General features: G+C 34.7%; 2 annotated features.

The window, feature by feature from the left end:
• Window positions 10,288-10,945: an enhancer, noted in NCBI's record as "NANOG hESC enhancer chr18:68970695-68971352 (GRCh37/hg19 assembly coordinates)". NCBI's record gives its function as "activates a minimal SCP1, AML or CMV promoter by ChIP-STARR-seq in primed H9 embryonic stem cells {active_cell/tissue: H9 hESC(primed)}" and the evidence as "EXISTENCE:reporter gene assay evidence [ECO:0000049][PMID:30033119]".
• Window positions 11,526-12,225: an enhancer, noted in NCBI's record as "OCT4-NANOG hESC enhancer chr18:68971933-68972632 (GRCh37/hg19 assembly coordinates)". NCBI's record gives its function as "activates a minimal SCP1, AML or CMV promoter by ChIP-STARR-seq in naive H9 embryonic stem cells {active_cell/tissue: H9 hESC(naive)}" and the evidence as "EXISTENCE:reporter gene assay evidence [ECO:0000049][PMID:30033119]".

Raw genomic sequence — 27,262 nt, forward strand, 5'->3', positions numbered from 1 at the left:
CCCTGAATTACGTGAGTAGAGGCTAAAGTATAAAATGGAGTAAATTTTATTGTTAAAGATATTTTATCACATTTAATTTCTCCTTAATATCTTTGAACATTTATGACCACTTTCTAGAAGTGGCTTCTTTAATATAAATTGTCTGTAGTTTGATGTGGTCACACTCCCCTTATTACTTGTGGTAGAAAATGAGAACATTTAGTTTAACTTTTAAAGAAGATTTAGGATGAGATTTATTGAGCATTTAGTTGAAATGCTGAAGGAAAAGACAAGACTGGAGAACTCACTGTCAAATAAATACTTTGGCCTGAAGGTGACTCACCTCACTTCTCACAACCCATTGGCTGGAACAAAATGCATGTTTCATATGAACCACAAGGTGATTATGATCCTCCTGTAAGTTTAGAGATGTTGAGAAATTGCTGTGGGAGGTCTGAGATACAAGATGAGACAGAACATGAAAAAGATGAAACTTATGCCAAAAATTATTTTTGATAAATGCCTAACATGAATTAAAATATATCAGTTGAACAAATTAAAATGGCTAGATTTCCAATTTTTTTCTCTCTTGCTATGAATGGTAAAAATATTATGCCTTTATTGATGTCATTGTGCCTTTGTTGTTATGAGATTTTTTTAATTGGCTAAAAATGATCATCAAATTAATATTTTTAAGTTAAGATTGTTCAAATGTATTTTAAACTTAGAAGAATCGTAAACCCATTTGAGATTAAAATACATATTTGAAGAAAACAATAAATGTTTTCAATGCATTCTCAACACAAGATCTCAACTAATGATTAAACAATAATAGTAGCAATAGGAAGACAGACTCTTTCAAAATGGATATATCGGAAAGAAATACTATGTGCTATGACCAAAGAGAAATGCTATATGCTATGACCAAAGGGTCTCCATGATGCTGTGCAAGGAAAACAAAAAAAAAAATCATAAAATTACTGAGTTCAGAATATCTGTATTCTTTTTTTTCTGACAAATGTGGATAATTTTTACCCTTCTTGGCTTGCAGTGTTTTGTTTTTTTTTTTAATACTGTAAGTTCTGGGTTACATGTGCAGAACGTGCTGTTTTGTTACATAGGTATACACATGCCATGATGGTTTGCTGCACCCATCAACCCATCATCTACATTAGGTAATTCTCCTAATGTTATCCCTGCACTACCCCCCAACCCTGCAACAGGTCCCCACGTGTGATGTTTGTTCTCCTCCCTGTGTCCATGTGTTCTCATTGTTCAACTCCCACTTATGAGTGAGAACATGCGGTGTTTAGTTTTCTGTTCCTGTGTTAGTTTGCTGAGAATGATGGTTTCCAGCTTCATCCATGTCCCTGCAAAGGACATGAACTCATCCTTTTTTATGGCTGCATAGTATCCATGGTGTATATATGCCACATTTTTATCCAGTCTGTCATTGATGAGCATTTGGGTTGGTTCCAAGTCTTTGCTATTGTGAATAGTGCCACAATAAACATACATGTGCATGTGTCTTTATTGTAGAATGATGTATAATCCTTTGGGTATATGCCCAGTAATGGGATTGCTGGGTCAAATGCTATTTCTAGTTCTAGATCCTTGAGGAATTGCCACACTGTCTTCCACAATGGTTGAACTGATTTGCACTCCCTCCAACAATGTGAAAGCATTCTTATTTTTCCACAACCTCTCCAGCATCTGTTGTTTTCTGACTTTTTAATGATCCCCATTCTAACTGGCTTGAGTTCTGGCCAGGGCAATCAGGCAAGAGAAAGCAATAAAGGGCATTGAAATAGGAAGAGAGGAAGTTAAATTGTATCTGTTTGCAGATGACATGATTGTATATTTAGAAAGCCCAATCGTCTCAGCCCGAAATCCCCTTAAGCTGATAAGCAACATCAGCAAAGTCTCAGGATACAAAATCAATGTGCAAAAATCACAAGCATTCCTATACACCAATAACAGACAAACAGCCAAATCATGAGTGAACTCTGATTCACATTTACTACTAAGAGAATAAAATACCTAGGAATACAACTTACAAGGGATGTGAAGGACCTCTTCAACGAGAACTACAAACCACTGCTCGAGGAAATAAGAGAGGACACAAACAAATGGAAAAGCATTTCATACTCATGGATAGGAAGAATCAATATCATGAAAATGGCCTTACTGCCCAAAGTAATTTATAGATTCAATGCTATCCCCATCAAGCTACCACTGACTTTCTTCACAGAATTGGAAAAAACTACATTTTAAAACACTTATTTTTTTCACCTTCACTGAAATATAATTCATAGGTAATAAACCGATCTTATTTGAAGTGTACTATTTCATGAGTTTTACTGAGTGTATATCCTTGTATCGACCAACTCAGTGAAGACACAGGGCATTTCCTTCTTCTTTTTAAAAATTTTGGCTTTTATTTTACATAAAGGGGAATATAAGCAGGTTTGTTACATGGGTGTATCGCACCCAGGTAGTGATCATAGTGCCAAAAAGGTAGTTTTAAGATATTCTATAGCCAGCCAGGCACAGTGGCTCACGCCTGTAATCCCAGCAGTTTGGGAAGCCAAGGCGGGCAAACCACTTAAGGTCAGGAGTTCAAGGCCACGCTGGCCATCACGGCAAAACCCTGGTTTCTACTAAAAATACAAAAATTAGCCGGGCATGGTGGCGCACGCCTATGATTATAATCCCAGCTACTTGGGAGGCTGAGGTACAAAAATTGCTTGTACCCAGGAGGGAGAGGTTGCAGTGAGCCGAGATTGCGCCACTACACTCCAGCCTGGGTGACAGAGATTCTGTCTCAAAAAAAAAAAAAAATAAATAAAAGATATTCCATAGCCACTTTTTGTTTTTGTGTTTGTTCCATGTTCTATTTTGGGTAATTGTTTTTATAAAATGTGCACTAGTAGTAGGAAAATTATGGGAAAAAATAGAGTATATTAAACAGAAACAAAACACAATGTATTTACATGAACATGAAAAATAAAAAGTAAATTCTCAGACAAGAATATGTTTACATATAAAATCAAGGCAAAAATAATAATAGTAAATTCAAGCAGTTAAAAAGTAGCTGGGCTAATAAGTTTAGGATAGCTGATGTTTTCAGAACAAACAACTCCAAAATATCAAGAACTTAAAATAATTTTTAAAAATGCATTCACACAACATGTCTGATGTGGACGACCATGGGGACTGGTCTCATTGCTGTTACTCCAATATCCAGGCTAGCAAAGCTCTGCTGTCTGAGGATGCTAGCATCTGAAAAGCAGATGTAACAGTGTACCACTGTAGCAAACGGGACTTGCAAGTTAATACATTGGCTGTTAATCCTTTGCCACCTGGATGTGGCAAAGCATAATTTTAATCACATTTCACTAGCTAAGGCAAGCCATGTGGTCATACCTGTCTCCAAGGTTGAAGGAAAATATAACTCCAAGTGACACAAGGAAAGGAGAACTAGAATGTTCTCTAAGCATAAATAATATTGACCACAGACGCCCTAAAAGAGTTCTCAGTATTTCATCTAATGGAGATCTTTATGGATGTAAACAATTGTCAAAAATGTACAATCACCAGTGCCTTTCTATACCCTATAAAAGATACATTGTAAGAACACTGAAATAATTAAAGCCAATACAAAAAAGAGATTTAAAATTCTCTATTTATGAAATCCAAGAAACTTGAGGTTATATTTCTGGGAAATCTTTATTTTGTTAGTTTATACTTGAACTGTTCATTCTAATTATTAATACAAGAAAGAAAATAAACCATGAAAATCATACATGCAGATCAGGTATTTTGCAAGAGAATAGCACTAGTGATGTTTATTTATTTCATTTCATATATTGGTCATTTAGAATAACTACTTATGTTTTCTTTGTTTTTTTTTTAATTTTTTCAAGTGAAACAAACAAAACATCACATGTTTGGTAGTACAATTAAAATCCAAACATGAATAAATAAGAAAACCATTGTTCAGTTAAACATTGTAAAATTAAATAATTAGTATCTAAATAATCTACTGAAACCCTCAGGACATATGGTAGTGTTTGCCAATAAAGCTGACTGCATTTGATATTTTTTTTAGTCAAATAAATTATAGCTACATTAGTAACCTTGGAAATATCTGCTCCTATTTAAATGCTGAAAGAATAGGGTATTTGGCCAGAATAAGTAATGCATTTTGGGAGAAAGAATTTGTATATTTTACTTTCTTGTAAGGTAGAGTAAGAATTTTTTGTTGGTTGATTTTTCTTTCTTTTATTAAAAAATATTCTTGTAAAAAAATCTCTTAACCATTCACTTTTATGTGATTTAAATAATCAATTCTAGGAAAACAGCTAAATTCTAGTCCAGAATCCTTTTGGCAGCACACATACAAAGCTCAAAGTAACACATTATTTACATGAAATCAACTGTTGTTAAGTTGGGGACCAAGTATTTTCTGAGTACCCTGTTATAATGTCTGCTGAGCCCTGGAGTTGCAAAGATAAATAAGTCACACTGTTTCTGCCATCAAGGAACCTGCATATAATGTATATAAAGTGGTAAGAAAGAGAGAGAAACTAACACATAATTCTAACTTACTGTCATAAGCCTGAAGAGTTATCCAGAATGGTCTTGGGACATTTTACTCTGAGGTATCACTTTCTCATTTATAAGAGGTGATATACAATCATTACAATCATGCCTTCCTCTATTTACCAACTTTGAGAAAACTGATTATGTATTTATGTATGTATGTATTTATTTATTTATCTATTTATCGAGACAGGGTCTTGCTCTCTCACCCAGGCTGGAGTGCAGTGGTGCAGTCACAGCTCACTGCAGCCTCACGTGATGCTCCCAGCTCAGCCTCCCTAGTAGCTGGGACCACAGGCACATACCACATCACCCAGCTATTTTTTTTATTTTTTATATCACCCAGCTAATTTTTTTATTTTTTATAGAGACAAGGTCTCCCTGTGTTGCACAGGCTGGTCTGGAACTCCTGAGCTCAAGGATCCCTCCTGTCTCGACCTCCCAAAGTGCTGGGATTACAGATCTGAGCCACCATATCCAGCCAAGAAAACTGATCTCAATTGGGAAAAATTTGTATTTTACAATTCATGAAGGCATTCACCTATTACTTATATTTGTTTACATTCTTTCAGATTTGACCAACAAGGATACTCATATATTATTCTTATTTAATAATACATATTTATATTTATATTTAGATGAATCTGTGGATAATAGTATAAAGCCCTTTTTGGTAAGATAGAATAATGAGTCTTATAATAGCAAATGTTAATCATGTAGAGAAAGCAACCACTAATGAAGATGGATCATGTCTGACCAATTTGTTTTATGAAAACATATTTTTACATGTATTTAGTTATTTAATGTAAAAAACTAAGATTAAAACTACAATTTACTTGCTCTAGTCGTTAAGTCACTTGAGAAAACAGAAGTATGGAATGAATGAATTACAAATAAAAAAAGTGCAGACAGCTTGAATTTTGAATCTTGCTGATAGTTATCTGAAAATATTAAAGACAGCTGAACATAATGTTTATATAGAGTTGTTTTTAAAGGTGAGTTTAATTCATTCCCTGAGTTCATTCTGAGTCCAGGGTTATTCTAGTTGCATAGCTTTGAGTAAACTGTTTAGCCTCTCCCATCCCAAACTCTATCTTTAGAATATGGTAATAATAATAATAATTACTAGGTAGGGCAGTTCTAAGAATGGAACAAAATCACGTATCTAAAGTGTTTGAACTATTGACCAATTCATAGAAATATCTCAATACAACTGAACTGTTAATAACAATGATTACAAGGAGAGACTAATCACATCTCATGGAGATGAAAGCGGGCTTGCACAAACTCAGCCAACCAATAAGATCAATAAAGCCAGAAATCACTTTACGATTTTGATATGATTATCTCACTTTTTGACCCTATGACTCGTTAGTATTCCAGAAGGATCTTTTTTTTTTTTTTTTTTTTGAGACGGAGTCTTGCTCTGTCGCCCAGGCTGGAGTGCAGTGGTGCATCTCTGCTCACTGCAAGCTTTGCCTCCCGGGTTCACGCCATTCTCCTGCTTCAGCCTCCCGCATAGCTGGGACTACAGGCGCCCGCCACCACACCCAGCTGATTTTTTGTATTTTTTTTTAGTAGAGACGGGGTTTCACCGTGTTAGCCAGGATGGTCTCGATCTCCTGACCTCGTGATCCGCCAGCCTCGGCCTCCCAAAGTGCTGGGATTACAGGCGTGAGCCACCGTGCCCGGCCCCAAAAGGATCTTTCAAAACAGGATTTGCTAATATTTATTTATTAAGGACCAAATTCTAAGATTAAACATTGCCTCACCTCAGATCAAGCTTCCTGAACTAATCTAAAATAATCTCAGAGAATGGAAGTCCTTGAAAGCATTTTATTGTTTACAATGGCAACAAAACTGATGGGCATCTCCCTCCCTCCTTTCCTTCCTTCCTTCCTCCCTCCCTCCCTCCCTCTCTCCCTCCTTCCCTCCCTCCCTCTCCCCTTCTTTCTTCCTTTCTCTCTCTCTCTCTCGTTCTTTTTCTTTCTTTTTATAATTAAGTCTAGAGCTGGCCCATCTCAATCATCAATGCAACATACAAACTTTCTGTTTAAGAGTATCTGTGTGTATATATGTGTGTGGGGTTTCTTCCGGAATAATGCTTCATAATTTCCAGTGATACATTTTCTGAAACCTTTCTCTAAAAATATCTTACTTTTAAATATTTGAATATCTTTAATGACAGTGATCCCTCTTAAGCCATTAAAATGGTTCTTAAATATGCCTTATACCCTTACATTATAATAATTGTGAGTTAAGGGCAAACTTCACAGGTTAAAGTTTAGCCCTGCATCTTATGAATTAACATAAATTATCAAAATTCATGAACCTTTGCTGCAAATTATATTAGTTCCTTTTGAAATTGACAGAATCAATTTTTGATATTTTTCTATATTAATCATTTACTTAATATACACAAATAATTAGAATGAAGCTTAAAACTCTACATAAATCCCATAGGCAGAAATTAATAATCAAGGAAATCAGGGCAAGAAAGACTATTGATAATTAGGCAATAAATCAAAGATAACATTAACAGAACAATACAAACAATATGAACACGTGATAATAGAAGAAGCCAATGTTTGCCTCTAAGATTTCTGAGTGGCCAGATCAAAGAAAGGAATGTAATGCTTTCCAACGGTTATTGTTTCCATAAGATAAAAAGACAACAGATAATCCATTCTTGAGATTTAAGGATGGACATGATGCAGGATATGATCTTCTTTAAGAACCAAGTTTTCTCTTTTTATTGTTATTTTAAATTTGATCATTTGCTACAATTTATAAAAAGTGAATAAAGTGATTTAAAATTTGTAATAGTTCTAGGAAAAATTCATACAATTATAAAGGCTGTGGTTCTTTTAAAATACATTTTTAGGTAAAAGACGCTAAGTATAAACTAATAAAGTTAATCGGAATTGATACAAATAAAAACTTTTAAGTTTTTTTAAATAATGTAGCAGGAAGATGTAAAACAGACTTTTATGCCTTACTAACATAAATGGCAAATCATACTAACAAAAGTATACATTATAATTCTTCATGGTGTATATAAGACACTGTGTATCTTAATATGTTTACTACTTCTAAATAATTTGCCCCCAAATTACTGCTTCTTTATTTAAAATAAGAAAATAAATATTTTTGAAAGGTTATTTAAATAGTGTATCATTGGCTGTGTATGTGTTTAACTCCTAGTTTACATAGTCTGGTACTGTTTTCTCAGTTATTAATTAATAATGTTCCAGGTATATGTAGTTGTTATAATTTGTAAGATGCTTTCTTTTATATTGCCTAATTGTTTATAACGTGATTGCGTATATGTTAACATATGAATTCCTCTAATTGCAGTGTAGACATCCTATGGTCAAGAATCACATCTTATAGAGTCTTCGATGGGCGAGTATATTTGTAGGCACCCACCCATTCTCATGACATTATATTTTGTGGTCTAGTTCATGGGACAATAATCAGTGAAAATTACTGGACATTTTCCGAGATAATTTATGGCCATCTTCTGTATGTATTTACAGATCATATTATCAATACATTCTGCTGACTTTTGCTAACATTAGGCAAATGAGAGTTGTTTTCTCTACAAAGAAAGATCCTTTTCTGCCTCCCAACTTTTCAGACTTCTCAACTGTGATGGCACAGAAAACTTCCGATGAAAGACTAAGCTGGATTTGAAAACAACTGTGGCATGCTGGCTGAGGCTGTGACTCAAGTCATCTTAAACTTCATATTTTATTATCATGAACATAATCTGGAGCCGAAGAAACAATCTCCCCTGTCTGAGTATTTGAATAACTGCAGACACGGGTACCAGCCAACAACTTAATTATGGATTTAAAAAATTGGCATTAATCTTTTCTTTCCTGTATATATTCACTTGTAATGCCACAAGTCACAGTAAATTGCTCATTAAACTTCAAGCAATGCTATGTAATGCTTGCTACCATTTATAGGCAATGCTCTCCAAAGAACAATTAGAGGGAGTATTGTGACACAGAACAATGGAGACAATTATTTCTGAAGTTTATTAATGCTAATTAGCATATGGCATCTAAGACAGCTGCTGATACTTCATTGCTAAATACTGAGGGACTAATTAGTGCTTGATGTTAATTAGCTTCTTCTCATGCGCATTGTCCTTAGATGCATGTGCACTGTCACCATCGGGCTATTAAAAATCGGGCCCTGTGCTCTGCAAGAACGTGAGGTGGCATTTAGGAGTTCGTTCAGAGTGTATGGCATTCTTTCCTAATACATACACCCTTAATAGATTCCATAGGAGCTTTAATAATCCACTCTTTGTTTAAAACCTTCTAGTAAATTATGATTTTTTTCAATGCTGAAGAGAACTGTTTACTGTATCTTGTAATTTTTCATGTCCTGTCACTCACAAGTGAATTCAAATGCTACAGATCACTGGCATAAAAATATTTTGGTTATAATTTATTTAATAATCGAACTGATTTTGGCTTTGCCTCTCACTTTATATTTAATCTTTTATTTATGATTAAAATACATTATTAAGCCAATAGGTCAAATATGCACACTTTCCCCATTAGCTGATTTAATAACATTTTTAGTTTCTGGGTTTTTTTCTTCAGTGACAGCCAAATACAGATTTTTTTCTTTTAAAACCTGAACTAAGAATTTACCCATTAAAAACTCATCTTTTGAAGACAATGTGTAGGTTAAGCCGGTGATCTAGGAAGTGTTTTCATGTCAGTCTTAAAAACTTTTCAATGACACTCTTTGTTTACTTGCTTTTCTTCTGGTTTTGGTGGGTGGGTGACTCACATGATCAATTTGTTCACCAAATTTCTCTAACAGTCAGATAACTTGTACACATGTTGGACATTTTTTTCAGGCATAAACTTCCCTGTGATTAGTAAGTGAACTTAAAAGTTCAGTATACAACATGAAGCTCTGTAAAGGGTGACCACAAATATGTAGTAGTCTGATATTCTAAAGATAATCTCTGGTTTAATTACACACAGTGTTTTTATGGTACTATATGTATACATTTTGAATGATTATTAACAATACTTAGAGTTAATAATAATTGTCCAAACATTTTTGCTCATAATTTTATAGCCTTGAAGTATTTTGGCACTTATGCAATTTGTATGAGAGCATGCCATTCAAAATAAAGGAATGAAACAAAGGTACCCACAATGGAGACTGTAGAATCACCTGCCAAAGAAACTGCAAAAAATAAGTATCTAATAGGCCAGAAAACATGCAAAAAGAGGGACAATAAAATAACAAATAATGAGGAAAAATAAATTTTAAATACACTTCATCCACATTTTAAAATGCCCATTACAGCTTTCTAGATTGTAAAAACAAACAAAATGAAGTAGAAACCAAAATTTTATTTAAATGAGTTCCAAAATTGAGATGACTAAATCTCATTTAATTCCAGCGTGTAGGGATTTCCCCGAGAGACAGGTTCAGTGTGTAGAAGAAATGAATGCCGTCTGATTTCTCATTAGGATTTTTGGACTTAGGAAAATAAGGAATATGCCCATAAAAGAAGCTGTCTTTTTATTCTTTTTCTTCCTCCTCCACTTCCAGCTTTTCTTCATTATCATCTCATTTTTTACGTTCCTTCCAGCAGGTGAAGAAAAGTTTTCAAACAAGTGAGACTTCGGGAGCTATAATATGGTTTAGATTTGTGTCCTGACCCAAATCTCATGTTGAATTGTAATTCCCAGTGTTGGAGGAGGGGCTTGGTGGGAGGTGAGGTGATTGGATCATGGGCCTGGATTTACCCCCTCGCTGTTCTTGTAATAGTGGGTGAGATCGCACAAGATCTGATTGCTTACAAGTGTGGAGCACCTCCCGCTGAAGATCTGATTGCTTACAAATGTGGAGCACCTCCCACTGAAGATCTAATTGCTTACAAATGTGGAGCACCTCCCACTGAAGATCTAATTGCTTACAAATGTGGAGCACCTCCCACTGAAGATCTGATTGCTTACAAGTGTGGAGCACCTCCCGCTGAAGATCTAATTGCTTACAAATGTGGAGCACCTCCCACTGAAGATCTAATTGCTTACAAATGTGGAGCACCTCCCACTGAAGATCTGATTGCTTACAAGTGTGGAGCACCTCCCGCTGAAGATCTAATTGCTTACAAGTGTAGAGCACCTCCTGCTGAAGATCTGATTGCTTACAAGTGTGGAGCACCTCCCCCTGCTCCCTCTTCCTCCTGCTCCAGCCATACAAGACACGCCTGCTTCCCCTTCACCTTCTGACTTGATTGTAAGTTTCCTGAGGCCTCCCCAGCTATGCTTCTTGTACAGCCTATGGAACTGTGAGTCTACTAAAGCTCTTTTCATTATAAATTACCTGTTCTTAGGCATTTCTTTTTTGCAATGTGAGAACTGTCTGATATGAGGTGAAACGTGAAAAATATGTAACTTAAAAAATCACTTTTTAAGAACTCTGAATGTTGGAATATCAAATGCACAGGTAAACAACCCAAACTTGACTCTAGTCTATTTGTGGTACTGGGCCTCAAAGTCTCAGATTCCTTATCTGGAAAATGAGAATTTTTATGCTCACACAACCAGTAAGTAAGAGTGCGTTCTCTGACTGCCTTGCATTGAGGGGCTCTTGTTTCGAGGGGCTCTGTGGCCTTAGGAAATTATTTAATAGCTCCATGTCTCCACGTTTCCACCAGTGAAACTGGAGTGACAATTTTGCTGGCCTGTCTTGTACCAAAGACTCTAGAAAACAAAAGCTAGGGAAGGATTAAGCGACAAATACTTCAGTTTAGACATGCATAGTAATCATTTACCTATAACTCTGGGACCATCTTTCACTATATTGAGGGTTTTATTCTTCTCAAAATTCTTGTAAGTCAGTGACCCCAAAGCTGAATTTTAGAAAAGACATTGTACTGACGTTTTTTAATAGTCTCAGGACTATTAAATTAGCTTCATTAGCCTTAAATTTGCCTTATTACACTGTGTATCATTTGGGGTGGAGAATAGCAAATGTTATCTTAAGATATTCTGCCTGTGAGAACCTATAAAAAACAAACTCCACTGTAGTTCGTATTCAGATATAAAGAGAGAAAATAACTATACCTGACCCAATTGGCTGACTTTTGAATAATTCACAGATAAATCATTTTGCTTTAGAATACCTTCCATTGTAAATTATCCGTCCCTTTGAGATGGAAATCATCTCCCAGGCTCCTGTGAGTTTTACAGCCCAGGAATGTCTTTCTCAAGTTCCTGGGAACCATTCCTTTGAAATGCAATCAGCAAGAAAGATAATGTTCCTTTCTCCCAGGTTCTGTGGGAGGGTAGGAGCCTAACTCACCAATTATCACCAACTACCAAACACAGGTGGTCTAATTACATTTACCTACCTTCTCTATCCACCCCCTTAGTCTCTTCCAGTATTTTTTCGTAGCTCATTCTTGTTCTTGAAAGTTTTCCTGTCTTTTGATTCAATGAAATTAAGTTCAATCTGTCTACCTTACATCATCAGCCTTCTTGAGTAAAGTCTTCCTTGCCTGTTTAACTCTGTCCATTGTAATTTTTCTTTGACACCTTTAACACCCTTATAGTAATCTTGAAATGTTGATGAAAGTATTGTTGGAAACATCTATATTTTGTCTTTCAAAATTTTTTATTAATATTTCAAAAATGTATAAATATGCCTATACATTAAATATTTTCAGCTTTGTCAAGAATACAACTAAAAAATTCAATTTCAGGTCTCAATCAATTTAGAAGTTTATTTTGCCAAGGTTAAGGATCGTGACCCATGACATAGCCTCAGGAGGTCCTGAGAACATGTGTGCAAGGTGGTTGAGTTACAGCTTGGTTTCATGTGTTTTAGGGAGACATAAGACATAAGTCAGTACATGGGAGGTATACTTTGGTTCAGTCTAGAAAGGTGTGACAGTGCGAAGTGGGGGGCTTTATAGGTCATAGGTGGATTCCAAGATTTTCTGATTGGCAGCTAGTTTAAAGAGTTAAGTTACTATCTAAAGACCTGGAATCAATAAAAAGGAGTGCCTGGGTTAAGACGGGGGTTGTGGAGACCAAAGTTCTTATTATGCAGACGAGGTCTCCTAGGTAAAGGTTGCCTTTAAAGGCAACATGGCTAATGTTTCCCATTCATATCTTTGAAAAGTGTTAGACTCTCAACTAATCTCTTTAGGATCAGAAAAAGACCTGCAAATGGAAGGAGATTCTCTATAGAATGTAAGTTTCCCCATAAGGGACAGCTTTGCAGGGCCATTTCAAAATGTATCAAAAACATATTTTGGGGTAAAATACTTGTATTTCTTTCAGGGCCCTACTATATGTCATGTGATGGTATACTAGAGTCAGGTTGGAATTTGGTATCTTACTGCTTCGAAGAGTCAGTTCTGTCAGTCTGAGAATCTCTGTTTTAATGTTCATGCTGATCAGTTGTGGCAGAACTCCCAAGGGAGGAGAGTATAATGGGGCATATCTGAGCCCCTACTTTCTGTCATGACCTATACTAGGGTTTCAGTTTTTGCTGGGTTTCCTTGGCCAAGAAGAGGGGCTGTTTATTCAGTTGGGGACTTAGAATTTTATTTTTGGTTTATAGAAGCTACCATGCTGTGCCCAATATGACTTAGATAATAATGGTTTCGTAAGGCTGCTGTCACTTGTGATATGTATGGGTTTTGATTCCTAGTTATTAAAGAAGTATGCCTTTAAGAGTGATTGCAAATATAAATGCAAAATTTTGTTTTGCTTTGCCTTTGCTTTGTTGGGGAAAAAGGTAGGTGTTATTTTGCTTTAGGTTGATATTTCTTGTGCCACATAGTCACATTCGATTAAATAGCTCCTCCCTAAAATCTGTTCTAACCTTTGTACAGAGCTATTATCCTTCTGACAATTCTCAAAGGTTATAGCAATTAGAATATAATATGTCTTTGCAACTAAAATTCAAAAGGTCTATTTTAATTATACTTTACCATAGATCAATAGCCCCCATTAAAATGATACTTTTTTTCTTTATACTGTCTCTGCTTTGACTACCCTTGTAGTGAGTTGCAAATCAGATTTAGCTAAAAACTTATCTAATTATTTTCTTCTACTGAAACATCTAATTTAGCTAGGGGAAAAATAAAGAAGCTCACACTTTTTTTTTTTTTTAAAGAGAAGAATATGGCCTCTGCCTGATAAAAGTAGATTAGTGATTTTAATGAAGCGGCATTCCCAGGATTGGTGCAAATAGAAGCAATGGCCACTAAGGGCTTCCAGGATGTTACGACTACAACCATAGGTGCAGAGATGTGGTGACTTGTGCTTTTAAATGGTCAGAACAGGTTTTACCCTCTGCTATGCTATTGCTATTTAGGCTTTTATTTTGTGTTCTTTCTCCACATAGAAATATATCTTTATAGCTGGATATTAAAAGGAGATAAAATCTGCTCATAAATTTGGAGAAGGAAGTCATTGATACGTTTGTGAGGACTTCTAAGGCTATAAAGTAACTATTGAGAGGTGGTTTCATCTGGCGTGGGTGGTCACTGGGTATTAACTCTTAACTAGTTTCATTTTATAACCGTTAAATAACATATAACTCTTCTCATTGAAACTCTTTAAGATGAATCAGTTCTAGAAAAACTACAAGTAAAACAAGTAAAAAGTGGCAAGACATGGTGAATATAAAGAGATCCAGTGACACATATTTTGTAAAAAAAATTATCTGACACTCGTATTTCTATACACTATATGAAATAATATTCCAAGATGATTCAGGCTTAAAATAAATCACTGATGCTATCAGACAATCTTGAGCTTATTCTGAAGCACCAAAATAATTAACCTAAGGCACAAAATAATTATTATGTTGCTGATTTATATAACCTTTGGTAATTTAAGTCCTTCAATCATGAAAGCTTTTAATCGTGATATTGTGAGCAGCGGCAGCAACGATGCCATGTGTGTCTCTCTTCCACATTGTCCTCAGCATCTGGATGTGTCCCGCACATAGACTGTCCACAATAAATGTTCAGTGTATGAATGAATCAAGCAACCATTCAAGGGGTTTTAATTGTTTTAATAAAAAGGAATTCTAATCCTCAGTAGATGAATGTATTCAAATAGATACATATGTTCCTGCATACATATGATACAAGCATACATAGTATGAAATCTAGTAAAGCCATATTGCAACTGGTTGGTGTTTTTAAAGTAACTAAATTATCATTTATATAAAATATATTTTGTCATTTAATGATAGTTTAGAACTAGCTTAATGATGGGGTTTGGCTCTGTGTTTACACCCAAATCTCACCTTGAGTTGTAATAATCCCCATGTATCAAGGCTGGGGCCAGGTGGAGATAGTTGAATCACGTGGACAGTTTCTCCCATACTCTTTGTGATGGTGAGTGAGTGAGTTCTCACGTGATCCAATGGTTTTATAAGGGGCTTCCCCATTTGTTCGGCACTCATTCTCTTTCCTGCCACCCTGTGAAAAGACACCTTCTGCCATGATTGTAAGTTTCCTGAGGCTTCCCCAGCCATGCAGAACTGTGAGTCAATTAAACCTCTTTTCTTTATAAATTACCAAATCTCGGGTATTTCTTTGTAGCGGTATGAGAACGGACTGATACACTTAAGTTTATAATACAAAATATTTTGGAGTTTATATAACCTGAATTATTGTTCATATGTAATTTATTGCTCAATATTACTTTCTACCATTTTTATAATAAAAACCTAAGGAATACATATAGTTTCTTCCTGTGTAGTTATAATAGACTTACAGTGTTGTGAAAGTAGCTATATTCAATAACTGAATGGGCCCTGTGATTCTTTTTCTCTTCTTACCCGTCAACTCATTACTAAACTACAGTAAATAAGACATTACAGTAAATTAGGGCATTTAGAAAGAGTAATATGAAGTTTCATTTTAATATTCCATACCTGTACATTATTGTGATGGTCTAGGTTAAAACAACTATTGTGATGATATTAAAATGCAGTTCAATCAGATAAACTGCAATATATAAATAATATACATTTCTTGTGTGTGGTTAAAATATATAATTATTTTGAAGAGTAGTTGGTGATATTCATAAGTTTGGAAGACTAGTTAAGGATATTTTATTCAGTAAGTTTGCAGTAAATACATAGCTTGAGCATGCAATTTTTTTAAATAAATAATTTTTGAACATATCATATTATCTCCAAGATTAATTTGTTGGGGCTGAAACAGCAGTACCCCAATATGAAGCAGCCTCAGAAACAAAAGTTTCTCTTTGATCTCCTGAGGGGTCTCTTGTCTCTGGCCCCTCAGTCTTGCCTGAGTATAGCCTTAGAAATTAAAATCCCTGTTCCCCAAGACAGGTCAAGACAGGGGAATATTACTCTAACTTCCCCTACATTTCGGTCTAAAAACAGGCCATAAAGGAATTATCTGAGCTACTTTGTTTGAATGCATATCATAAGATCCTCACCGCAGAGAGAGTCCCACCCGATACCAGAAGAAAGAAACGCTGCACAGAGAGGCCAGGAAAATCCAAACAGTAAGGCCTTGCTGGGTTTTTCCATTCAGTCCATTAGCATTAGATCATACCATTTTGCCCAAGCATAATTCTACATAGCTGTCCATACTTCATTGAACCTGAACATAAAAATGTATAGTTTTACCTGTATCTTTGGGTTTTCATTCTGAAGCCTCCAGTATCATATACAGATATGATTAAATAAATTTTTATGCTTTTTTTCTCCTATGAATCTGCCTTTTTTTTCAGTGAAACCTCTACATAATATTTCATTATATAAATGAAACATCCATTATAGTGAAAATCTTAGCTTTTGAAATCTGACTGCATGGCTTTGGAATTCAGAATCGCTCTACTTCAGTATCCTATTTAATGTGTTCAAATTTTCGGTACTTTACTACATTCAATGGTCTGTCAATCTGTCTATCACCTACCTTTCTATTCATATCTCCCTACCTTTCTATTCATATCTACCTATCAATCTCTTTATTATTTACCTCTCTATTGTCTATCTTCATTACCTACTTATCTATCTACCTATTTACCTACCTATCTACCTACTTATCATCATCATCATTATCATGTATCTCTAGCAGTGTAGTCTCTTGATTTATATCCTATTTGCATTGTAGTAGACATTGAGGATGAAAGAGCCCCATTTAGGAATACTAGAAAGTATATAAGCATTCTAAACTCTGTTTTCGCAGTAGAATTCCCTGGCAGGGTTTTATTTATTTAACTATTTTCAGTGTGGATGTCAGTTCTTATATTAGCACAGCTAAGAAAGATTATTTGAGAATGGGATTTGTAGAACTGATAAGTTAAAGATCTCCAGAGAGCCACTTTCAAGTAGGGTATAATAGCTTTTAAGAGGCTACTGATCTCCCTAAGCACCATTTAAAAATTGAGATATAATTAAAATTTTATCTATTTAAGGCACCAGAGAGTTGAAGGAGCAATAAGGAGTAGAATGGCTAAAATTCTGAAAAGAAGAGGACTTCAGAGAAGTTTGCTGACGATCTATAGCTATTCTGATTTCTGGGAATAGTTACTGGTTCTGAATTCAGGCTGAGAATCCACAGTTGGGGAATGGGGAAATCAGAAGAAATCTGGGTGGTTTCCAAAGACTGTATAAAACACAAAACAAAATACAAAATGGATGGTGTAAGGGTACTAAAAACACAGACAGTATTTCCCTCAAGACATTGGTGGAGTTAGGAAGCTCTGCCTGGTAGGGGGCTAAAATCTTAAGCCAGAATTTTCTAAGAAGTAGTTTTCTGCTATCTTACAGTGCTGAGAAAGCAGAAATTAGAATTTGGGATTATGGAAAAAGGCCATGTTGAATAAATCTGGCTATTTATAAAAGTCCAACAAATGCAGCCTGGGAATAGGAGGGTTTCAGCCTTCCCAAAAGTACGGCTCTGTCAAAGTCAGCTCAGTCCTTGTTTTGATAAAGATGTTCAATCCCATTCTGACTAGCAGAAGAATGGGTGATCCTTTAAAGATGGTTAATGTCATCTATATTCTCTAAATTTTTATATACCATAGCTGACATTCAGTTGAAATTAAGAGAAATGCCAAGAAACAGGATTTTATGATAAAAAAAAAACAAGAAGAAAGAAAAACAGGCAAAAAATAGGAATTAGTACTCAGCTGTTTGAACTTACATTAATGGAATAAGTAGAAAATGACTTTAAAATATGTGTGATTAATTTGTTGTATGAAGGTGATTAAGAGGCTTTACAAATTCATGGGAAAACTGTACGCTATTTAAGAGGAAGATATATATCATTTAAGACTAAAAATGCAAGGCCTGAAGTGAGGTTTAACTACAGAATGAAATAGATTAGAAGTCAGGGTCATGAACTTAAAGACAAGGGAGTAGAAAAACATTCTAAGAGGCAAATGAGACAATGTGAAAAGACTTAATATGTGTGGAGATAAAATGTAAGGATTAAAAAAAGCATCAATATTTGAAGAAAATAAAGGCCAAGAAGCTATAAAAACCAATGAAACAAATTGAAACCTGTATATCCAGTAACTACTTCAAACCTCAATAAATATAATGAGATAACTGCACCTAGAAACATCTTCTTAAAATTGCTAGAAACATAGGCAATAACAAAATGTTTAGAGCAGCCAGGTAATATGATCTAATTTGGTCATTCGAAACATCAACAATAGGAGTAGGGGCTGAGTATGCAATAGAAATAATGGAAGTCAGAATACAATTGAATTATGTCTTTCAATTGCTGAATGAAAATAAGCAACCTAGTTTACAGTCCCACCAACAGTGTAAAAGTGTTCCTATTTCTTCACATCCTCTCCAGCACCTGTTGTTTCCTGACTTTTTAATGATTGCCATTCTAACTGGTGTGAGATGGTATCTCATTGTGGTTTTGATTTGCATTTCTCTGATGGCCGGTGATGGTGAGCATTTTTTCATGTGTTTTTTGGCTGCATAAATGTCTTCTTTTGAGAAATGTCTGTTCATGTCCTTCGCCCACTTTTTGATGGGGTTGTTTGTTTTTTTCTTGTAAATTTGTTTGAGTTCATTGTAGATTCTGGATATTAGCCCTTTGTCAGATGAGTAGGTCGCGAAAAGTTTCTCCCATTTTGTAGGTTGCCTGTTCACTCTGATGGTAGTTTCTTTTGCTGTGCAGAAGCTCTTTAGTTTAATTAGATCCCATTTGTCAATTTTGGCTTTTGTTGCCATTGCTTTTGGTGTTTTAGACATGAAATCCTTGCCCATGCCTATGTCCTGAATGGTAATGCCTAGGTTTTCTTCTTGGGTTTTTATGATTTTAGGTCTAACGTTTAAGTTTTTAATCCATCTTGAATTAATTTTTGTATAAGATGTAAGGAAGGGATCCAGTTTCAGCTTTCTACATATGGCTAGCCAGTTTTCCCAGCACCATTTATTAAATAGAGAATCCTTTCCCCATTGCTTGTTTTTCTCAGGTTTGTCAAAGATCAGATAGTTGTAGATACGCGGCGTGATTTCTGAGGGCTCTGTTCTGTTCCATTGATCTATATCTCTATTTTGGTACCAGTACCATGCTGCTTTGGTTACTGTAGCCTTGTAGTATAGTTTGAAATCAGGTAGCGTGATGCCTCCAGCTTTGTTCTTTCGGCTTAGGATTGACTTGGCGATGCGGGCTCTTTTTTGGTTCCATGTGAACTTTAAAGTAGTTTTTTCCAATTCTGTGAAGAAAGTCATTGGTAGCTTGATGGGGATGACATTGAATCTATAAATTACCTTGGGCAGTATGGCCATTTTCACGATATTGATTCTTCCTACCCATGAGCATGGAATGTTCTTCCATTTGTTTGTATCCTCTTTTATTTCATTGAGCAGTGATTTTTAGTTCTCCTTGAAGAGGTCCTTCACATCCCTTGTAAGTTGGATTCCTAGGTATTTTATTCTCTTTGAAGCAATTGTGAATGGGAGTTCACTCCTGATTTGGCTCTCTGTTTGTCTGTTATTGGTGTATAAGAGTGCTTGTGATTTTTGTACATTGATTTTGTATCCTGTAAACTAGTTCAACCATTGTGGAAGTCAGTGTGGCGATTCCTCAAGGATCTAGAACTAGAAATACCATTTGACCCAGCCATCCCATTACTGGGTATATACTCAAAGGACTATAAATCATGCTGCTATAAAGATACATGCACATGTATGTTTATTGCGGCACTATTCACAATAGCAAAGACTTGGAACCAACCCAAATGTCCAACAATGATAGACTGGATTAAGAAAATGTGGCACATATACACAATGGAATACTATGCAGCCATAAAAAATGATGAGTTCATGTCCTTTGTAGGGACATGGATGAAATTGGAAATCATCATTCTCAGTAAACTATCGCAAGGAGAAAAAACCAAACACTGCATGTTCTCACTCATAGGTGAGAACTGAACAATGAGAACACATGGACACAGGAAGGGGAACATCACACTCTGGGGACTGTTGTGGGGTGGGGGGAGGGGGGAGGGGTAGCATAAGGAAATATACCTAATGCTAAATGACGAGTTAGTGGGTGCAGCACACCAGCATGGCACATGTATACATATGTAACTAACCTGCACATTGTGCACATGTACCCTAAAACTTAAAGTATAATAATAATAAAATAAATAAATAAAAAGAAGCAACCTAGAATTCAACAACAATAAAAATATCATTTAAAACAAAGGCCTAATATAGATGCTTCATATTCAGCTCTAAACAAGATAGACATATTTTTCTTTATTCCTACTACTAATTACAGCTAAAAGTCCTCGATATTATGTGTCAAACAGACACGATAATATTCTGAAAAATAAAAATAAGGCTGGCTGAGGACAGTAAGTTCCTTCAGTTTTTTTGTTTTGTTTTGTTTTGTTTTTTGCTTTATATCACCTAGACTACATGCTGGAGGAGCTGGTAACCTGGACATGCCAACAGATACGGACAAAAAACACACCAAAGAAAGCCCACTCTCTCTAGCTAAAGTGCCAGTAAAGAATAGCCCAGAAACACAGAAAACATTTGGACAATAGCCTTACTACTTTACTCAAACACTTTGGGGGAAAAATGGCCTACTCCCACCCCATCAGCAAAGGCTAAGTGGGAGGTTAGACTTTTACTCTCTCAGACTTCAATGAAGTACCCCTACCTGTTACATTATGCTGTTGTCACAGAAGGCTGAGTGGAAGATGAAACTTGGAATTATTTGATAAGAATTTTAAAGCAGCCATCATAAAAATAACTCAGTGAGCAAACTAAATAGAAAATTTAAAAATAGTCTCTGCAAAAACACAAGACAAAGAAACAGAAAGTGTAAAGAACCACTTTAAATGGAAATTTTAGAAATGAAAAGTAAAACAATCAAAATTTAAAAAGGAAATAATATAGGGGCCAAACATCAGAATGGAGACACAGAAATGAATCAATAAACTTAAAAATTAAAACAACAAAACCCCCATCAGAATAACAAAGAGAAACAGACCAAAAAAACAAACTAAAACAAAACCAAAAACAATAAACAAATAACAGAAGTCAGACCCTCAGCTCTATGGACCTATGGAGCTATGATAAAGATGTTTTAGATGTGCACAAAGTGAGAGAATTTTGAATTTTACTCCAAAAAAGAACCAAATTAGAGGAAAAAAATTAAAAAGGAAGAAAGGCAAAATAAAAAAAGACAAATAGTGTGTTTAAACTTAGCAGTAGTAATTAATACATTAAATAAAAATAGACTAAACACCCAGACTAAAATACAAAGACTTTCTCAGATTTCTTAGAAACCCAGTACTCAGTCATATGCAGTTGAAAAGAAAGAAAAGTTAAAATATGTAAATACACAAATGGAAAGATATAAGGAGGAAAATAGCAGAAAATTATAAGCCATGCAAACACTAATTTAAGATGCTGACATTGATATATTGTGAGAAAAGTAGACTTTAAAACAAAATGTTCTGTCAGGGATCAAGGGTCATTTTATGATGATACAGTAAACATTTTTGTTTCAGGAAGATACAACAATCATAAACATATTTGTACATAATAACAAACCTATAAAATACAGTGTGTAGGGTGGGAGGAGGGGCAAAGGACTGACAGAGCTAAAAGGCAAAAACAGAAAAATAATGATAGATTTTGGATATTTAAACATTCCTCTCTCATTGAGTGGTAGCTCACACACACACACACAAAATCAATGAAGATACAGAAGAGTAGATCAACTCTATGCACAAATTTAACTGACTTGATAGTCGTTGAGTATTGCACCCAACAAATACAGAGTAAACATTTTTTCCCCCAAAGTAGACACAGAAAATTCATGGATAGGTCATATTATACAGCATGAAAAAGCAAGTCTCAATAAATGTCAAATCCTTAAAAGCATATAGAGTAAGACATCAAAAATCATCTGATATCTAGAAAAGCCTAATATATTTAGAAGTTAAGCAATACACTTCTAAACAGCCTTGGGGGAAAAAAAGAAATCATGAAAATATTTAAATATATATATTTGAAAATATATTTGCTAATAAAAATATTGGGGGATGCAGCAAAAGTATTGTTAGGAGGAAAATTTATAGACTTAAATGCCAATATTAGAAAAATAAGTTATTTGAAAGTCAATCTTATGAATAGATAAAAAGCTGGTGAATTAAACCTCAAAAAGTGTAAGACAAGAAATAATGAATAATTTACAAAAAAGTTAATGGCATAAAATACAAGCAAGCAATATAGAACATTTTCAAAGCCAAAATCTGGTTCTGTAAAGTAATAATAAAATTGATAAACCTTGGCAAGATTGAATAAAAAAAAAAGTTCCAACATCAAGAATGTAAAAAGTTGTAGGCCATAGATCTTAGAATTGTAAAAATATACTATATGTAATATACAATTACATATTATATTATTAGATAACATTATATAATTATGTGTATGATGAAATGTATTGTGGACAACTTTGTGTTAAGTTCAGTAATAAATTGTTTCCTTATAAAATTCAATTCAGAAATTGTTCCAAGAATAAATAGAAAATCTAAATAGAACTATATTTATTACAGGAATTTAATAATAAAAGTTAGCCTAACATCTATTAAACAATTGAAATTCATAGTCAAATACATTCCAAACATAAAAGGCCAAGCCTGAATAGCTTCACGTAAACATTTTGTCAAATTCTTAAAGAACAAATATTAGCAATTTTCCAGAAAACTTTTAAAAAATACAGAATGAATAAATGCTTACCAACTCGTTTTGTAAGTCTAGCAACATCTATATACCAAAAACTGAAAAGGTTATTACAGTTAAAAATTTCTAGAGTAATATCCCATTTTAATGTAATGTCAAAAATCTTTGGTGAAATGTTTGCAAATCTACTCCATTAATATATAAAAAGATAAAAATCATGACTGAGTAAAAATTGTTGTGGATATGCACTTTTAAAAAATTAATATGAGGGCTGGGTGTGGTGGCTTATGTCTGTAATCCCGGTGCTTTGGGAGCCTGAGGCAGGCAGATCTCAAGGTTAGGAGTTCGAGAGCAGCCTGGCCAATATGGGGAAACACTGTCTCTAGTAAAAATACAAAAAAAATTAGCAGGGCATGGTGGCACATGCCTGTAATCCCAGCTACTCAGGAGGCTGAGGCAGGAGAATTGCTTGAACCTGGGAGGCAGAGGTTGCAGTGAGCCAAGATAGCACCACTGTACTCCAGCCTGGGCGACAGAGTGAGACTCCATGTCAATAATAATAATAATAATAATAATAATAATAATAATAATAATAGCAGAGTAACAATTAAAAGAAAAAGGGGGAATTCATATGATTAACTCAGTAGATACAGAATAAGCATATAACAAAATTCTATATCTGTTGGTGATATAATTTCATGTCTAAAAATTAGGAACAGAATAAAATATCCTCACTCTTTTTAGGGTATTTAAAAACCCCTTTCATGATTATTATACTTTATAATAGAGTATTGAATGCTGTTCCCTATACATCCCCTAACATTAGGGGCTCTCAAACTTTTATTCTACATTGAACTGGAATTCTTAGACATTAACATTATGCACATTCAATAAAAAGCAGAAAGATTGTGAAGGATAAAGTAAAACTCTCCCATTTGTAGATGACATTGTTGTATGTTGTTTTGTTTACAAATTTGGTAAATTATCAAAGTCAACAACATAAAAACAGTTGGATTTATATATGGCATAAAACTTATGAGTACCATTTACATAAATAATTAACTAGGAAAAACCTAAAAAATAATGCTAAACCTATAAACCACTATATGCAAAAGCCCTATTGAAAAAAATTTACAAATACCTAAGTATATTTATTTCACAACATAACAAAAATTGGTAGAGCAATATATCACATTCATGGGCTAAAAGAATTAATATTGATATGAAGCCTTTCTCCCAAGATTATTCTACAGATGAAATGTTATTTTAACCTCAGTCACTGAAGACCTTTTGAACAAATTGCAATGGGATTCTATAATGTACATGTAAAAGCAAAGGCTCTGAAAAAACCAAAACATTCATGGGGGAGAACAGCAAAATTAAAGGACTCATATTACCTAATTAGAAGACCAAATCAAACTTTCTGTAATTAAGACAATGTGTATTAGTAAATGGAGAGACAATGTAGATGTGGTTAAAGAATGGAGTCCTCCCCCAGAGCCACACTGATACCTGTTAGTCAGCTTTTCACCGTATTATATAAACCCTGATCTGACCTCAATCGGAGGGTTACCTGGTATCAGGTGCACCTTGAGGTGCTCCAGCTGAATAAAGCTCTCAACAACCTCGGTTTGAGTAACTTAAACACTTTGACAAATGTACGCCAACTTCAACAGAAAGAGAACAAAATATACCTGCTCATCTTGATGTGAGCTGTATTTAGTAAAAGTCAACACCTATTCTTGAGAAAAGCTTTTGGCAAAATAGAAACATAAATGAACTTCCTTAATTTGATAAAGCTTAACTACCAAAAACTTTGACAAATGTCATATTGGTGAATTACTGAAATCATTCACTGTCCCTCTCCACTATTTCAAGAATGAGATTTTTCAATATTATCAGGAATGTCCTAGCTAATGAAGTTGGAGCTAAGTTATGAGGATGCAAAGGCAGAAGAATGATATAACGGACTTTGGGGACTTGGGGGAAAAGGGTGGGAGGGCCTGAGGGATAAAAGACTACAAATTGTGTTCAGTGTGTACTATTCAGGAGATGACTGCACCAAAGTCTCACAGATCACCACTAAAGTACTCACTCATTTAACCAAATACCACCTGTTCCCCAAAAGCCTACAGAAATAAAATTTAAAAAGAAGAAATTTAAAAAAAAGAAAAGGCATAAAAAGTATATTGAAAAAATAAAGCTTCCTCATTTACAATGATATTATTCTGTACAAAGAAGACATTTTTTCTTACATAAAAAAAAAAAAGGCTGGCATGGTTGCTCATGCCCGTAATCCTAACATTTTGGAAGGCAGGTGGATTGCTTGAGTTCAGGAGTTAGAGACCAACCTGGGCAACATGGCAAAAACCAGTCTCTACCAAAAATATAAAAAGTAGCCAGGCGTGGTGGTGTATGTCTGTGTTCCCAGCTACTTGGGAGGCTGAGGTCGGAGAGGATCACTTGAGCCTGGGAGGTGGAGGTTGCACTGAGCCTCCGGGTGACAGAAACTATCAATGAAAAAAGAAAAAACCCACAGAAAAATTATTAAAATAAATAAGCACATTTAGCAATATATTAAATACATAAGAAATATTTAAAAATAAATTATACTTGTATAATATCATTTAGTATACAAAACATCAAAAACTGGAATTAAATTTAGGAAATATGTACAGGAGATTAAGGCTTAAAATTACAAATATTGAGAAAATTGTAATAAAACCTAGAAACCCAGAGTTTGAGGAGATATGACTTGCTCTTAGGTTGGAAAAGTCAATATGTAAAAAGTATATATTCTTCAAAATAATTAAGATATTTAAATACAACCCAAGAAAAATTCTAGGAGGTACTTTTAGTGGAAATCTACAAGTTAATCTCAAAAATTAAAATAGCAATGCAAAGAACAAGATAATTTTAAAAAGAACAAAGAAATAAGACTTTACTGTGTCCTATCATAACCTATTTGAAAGCTGTAGTGATTAAGAGAGTGTGGTATTGACTCAATGTAAAAATTTCAGAAGCAGGAACACATTTGCATGGTCACCTAATTTACAAATGCATCTGTATCACAATATAGAAACAGCTCTCATTTCAGTAAATGATTCTGGGCTTGTTGAATATCTATCTGAACAACTATGTGCAAAGATAAATTCTGAATTGATTTTAGAAATAACTGGAAAAGTAAAACAAAGTTTTGGTAGAAAATATAAGAATATATATTTATGGGCTTGGCATAGGTGATGATTTATTAAATAGGACACAAAATACTACAATGGTAGATGTGCTGTATTATGCCTTATTAAAAATGTACAAATTTCTGTTAATCAAAAGATACCATGAATAGAGTGTAAATGAAGCCACAGATTGGGAGAAAATAGTTGCAATACATCTTCTGGACTTGAATCTAGAATATATAAAGGATTCTTAAAAATTAAGTAAGAAAGCTAGAAATAACTTGTACAGGCACTACTATAAAAATGATAACTAAGCATTCGATGATTATAAAAATTGCTCAACATCTTTAATCATCAATGATATATGCAAATCCTTAAACTACCTATTATTTATTTAACATCCACGAGAAGTCTAAATGAAATAAAAACTACCAAGTGATGGTGAAGGTTTTGAATAATTGGACGTCTAATCCGACACTGGTGGGCATGCATGCAGGTATAAGCACAGTGGAAACCCATCGGGGAGTGTCTATTATACTTGATAATGTGCAAGCTCTATTCAGCAATTTAGCTTCTGTGTCTGTGCCCAATGGAAAGGCACGGATATCTCATTAGTCACTGGAATAGGGCCTATGAGGAAGCATCTGCGTGCTGATGATACGTTGATTTTGGACCTGAGTGCTGGTCACATGGGCATGCTCCCTTTGTGACGAATGCATTGAGTCTACAAATTTGTGTTTTTTCCTGTACCTATGTGGACTTAAAATGCAAAATTGTGTTCTTATAAAAATCTGAAAAGAAAAATGCCAAATAAAATTCAAATGTAAACAATAAACCAGTCCTAGTGAGTAGAAAGAAAGCTTGACTGGCAGGTAAAACAAAACTCAGCATTTCACTGCTGTGGAACACATCAGCTAGGGTAAAAATCCATACTGATAAGTACAATTTCTTTCAAGATGGGACATGGCAGCATCACTACCCACTTGGCAACAAAAATAAATAGGTTCCATAAGGGGTCGCAACTCCTGGAGAAATAACAGGGGACTGACGGGTTTAGTTAATACATCTGAATGGTGTAGAAAAGCTTGGAAAAATTCTAAAGAATTATGAATGAAATTATTTCATTCTTAGCTATAAAAGTCCTCCCAGTTCCATTTCCTTTTTATTTACCATCCATGGACTCGATTTCTCATGTTGTGATATGTGATACTGTTACATTACCTAATTGGTATGAAACAAATTTACGTAGACCTTCACATCCTTTTACCAGAATG

This window comes from Homo sapiens, chromosome 18 (assembly GCF_000001405.40).
Source record: "Homo sapiens chromosome 18, GRCh38.p14 Primary Assembly".
Lineage (NCBI taxonomy): Eukaryota > Metazoa > Chordata > Mammalia > Primates > Hominidae > Homo > Homo sapiens.